Source organism: Homo sapiens, chromosome 6 (assembly GCF_000001405.40).
Source record: "Homo sapiens chromosome 6, GRCh38.p14 Primary Assembly".
Lineage (NCBI taxonomy): Eukaryota > Metazoa > Chordata > Mammalia > Primates > Hominidae > Homo > Homo sapiens.
Genome location: NC_000006.12, coordinates 92,295,964 through 92,299,047, shown reverse-complemented (window position 1 = coordinate 92,299,047; position 3,084 = coordinate 92,295,964).

The following is a 3,084-nucleotide window of genomic DNA, read 5'->3' as shown; positions in this document are numbered from 1 at the left end:
AAAAAAAACCAGAACACAGCTTCCTGTTGCCATCAGGTCATCTTTATGTACATTTGGAGTCCTAATAGACATTTCTCTAGTGTGTTATCTGAGGAATCACTTAAATTTAATGAAGCTTTGGGACACAGGCTTTTTCCTCTACAATGGTTTAAAGCATGGTCTGAGCTTGGGCACATTATTTGATGCAGAATGGGGCCTCAAAAATGTTTGTTCAGTTAACTATGACATTCGTATTTGTGTATGAACAGTAGTTCATACACAAATGAACTAAAATTACATTAAAATAATGCAAACAATTGACACCTCAGCTAAAGAAGCCTGTAGGGGTGTTCAAACTCTGGTCTATAAAAGGGGTTACCTAACTATAGAACATTGTCTGTTTTTGTAAATCAAGTTTCACTGGAACACAGCCGTGCTTGTCCGTTTATATATTTTCTATGACTACTTTGGTATTACAACAGACCTGAGTAGTTAGATAGTGTATGGCTTGCAAAGATAAAAATGTTTACTATCTGGCCCTTTGAAGAAAAAGTTTGCAGACCTCTAGTCTATATTATTTCTAGTAAATTAAAGATTTCTAGTGTATGTTAAATCTAGTCTATGCTATTTTAAGAATAAGCTACTTAAAGGTTATAGGAAAACCATCATTTGCTAGGTTGTCTTTAAATAATTTGTACTAGCTTTTCTTCTGGTTACTCAGTAGCAGTGATTCTCTCAATCCAATATCTTATGTACAGTAAGTAAATGGGTTTTACAACTATATTACTGACCATATCCACACCTTTTCCAAATGTAGTAAAATTAAGCAACTACAGAAAACAGAATTCTTTAGAGTCTCTTGTAACTTGTAATTGGTTCAAAATTTTATCACATTAATTATATGGCAAGCTATATATACTAAATGTTTGTATTGGCTATTAATAACTTTCTTGCAAGAACTTGGGTAAATTCTAATGGACAAATTGGATCCTAATAGACTTGGTTCCATTTATAAATAATATTAGAAAAGGGCTAGCCTAAGTAAAACATAAATATATTAGAACGATAGTACATATTTTACAAAATCAAAGGAAGAGCTAAATTACCAGACCATGTGAAATATGTAAATAAAGACATTTCATTTCCAGGGATTGCAATAGTGGGATTTTGTGAACCGTTCATTTAGGTCACCACTATTGAATAACTACTCTAATTGCATTTTCTCCCTGAGTTTCTACTTGAGGTTCAAATCCCTGAGACAGTTACATTTTCCTAGTTTATGTTTTATAATCAACCAGACAGACAAAGTTTGTTGCCCACAATTGATAGCCCCACAAAAGGCACAGGGAAGGGACATTTCCTTCAAAATAAGAAATATTATGAAGAACTAAATGAAAGACCTTCATGAAAGCATTCCAAAGGGGAAAAAAAAAGCACAAAGTTGTGGTTGTGTGACAAATATGTACTCTGAAAGCAAGAAGGAGTACTCTGAAAGAAAGAAGGAATACTCTAAGGCTAGAACTATCGATATTTGCCAATGGAATATTAGAGCTGACAGAATAGAAGACAGAACTTCTATCTAGACGATAGGTCAGGGCTTTGTGGGACATGTGGTCCCATAATTATTTACTGTTGCAGTGTGAAAGCATCCATACACAATGCATAAACAAACAAGCATGTCCGTTGTTCAATAAAACTTTATTTATATAAACACGGGGTAGATCGGATTTTACTTGCAGGCCATAGTTTGCTCACATCTGTTGTTCATGGTTGTCAGAGAACACTGGATGGATGCCAGGGTTTATGCAAGAGGAACCTCTAGAATGTGAGTGGAAAAGACTTTCATTTGTACTTTTTCTTTTAATCCTTTAAAATGGATATGTATATTATTAAGATATATTTGTAGAATAATATATGACTATAATTTAGTTTTAAATGCATACACATATATTGGAAGTGCTTGTTCAACATTGTTTTACTAATACAGTCATATGAAAAAAAAGATGTATAGACAACTGCTGTAGGCAATAGGAAATCTGTACTTTTTCTTAATGCCAGTAAAGTAACCTAATTAGATTTATTTCTCAGAAGGATAATTTTGTGAGCTGTATTTTCATTATACTTAATTTCTTTACCAGGAATATAGTTATCATTTTGTTTTTAATTCAGAACTTTTCTTAATTTGTTTTTTAAATCTACTTGGCTATCTTAGTTTTATCAAATATAATGTTTCCTGATAGTTGTCCCAAATTAAAGCCATAAAAAGCATCAGTATTACAGAAAGCAATGATACCAAAAATAATAAAGAATTTCAGTAACTTGATGAGATCTTGTTGCAACAAAATAATTCAGTGAACTTTTTGGCGTTGCTTGAAGGAAACAGTGAAACCATTCAGTAGAGCATATCTAATTCTCTTGATAGAAGTGATTAAGTAATTAAATGGTAAAACCCCTGAACTATTACAGCCAAAGGAATATTAAAAAGGGTAACACAGAATGTGCCGTGATTTAATATAATGGAGAAAATGCATTTTTAAAATTAAACTAAGTCAGGAACTCTTCCTGTAAGAGAGAGTTGCACGCACTTTTCAGAATTAATGCAGTACAACAAAGACAACAACAAAGAATTTATCAGGCTGTAAGACTAAAGAAACAGGCAAACCCAACCTGGTGCTTACACAAGAGGGCATCTTCTCTAGAAAATAATGAAAGGGAGCACACATTCTATAGACATCCACTGGAGAAAGCTTGTTCTCAAAGGATAAACAAAATCAAAAACAACCAATAAAATTAAGCATTCACATTAATAGTGTTTGCCTTTAAACAAAGAAATGTAACCAAATTCTAACATAGACGACCTAAAGGTATAGTAGAGGCTTAACAAATTAGAGGTAAGTAAGGTAAGTGGAATCTAGATAAAATGAGAATAGATACTAATTAGGGTGCTTGAAATATATTATATCCACATGAATGACCCATTCTACACTCTGGCCTCAATATCACTGCTACTCCATCTCAGGCTTTCACTGCTGTGGTCCTATCCTGAATATCAGTATTATCAATAATTATGCCAACCAAAAATTGTGACCATCTGCTTCCATTCTT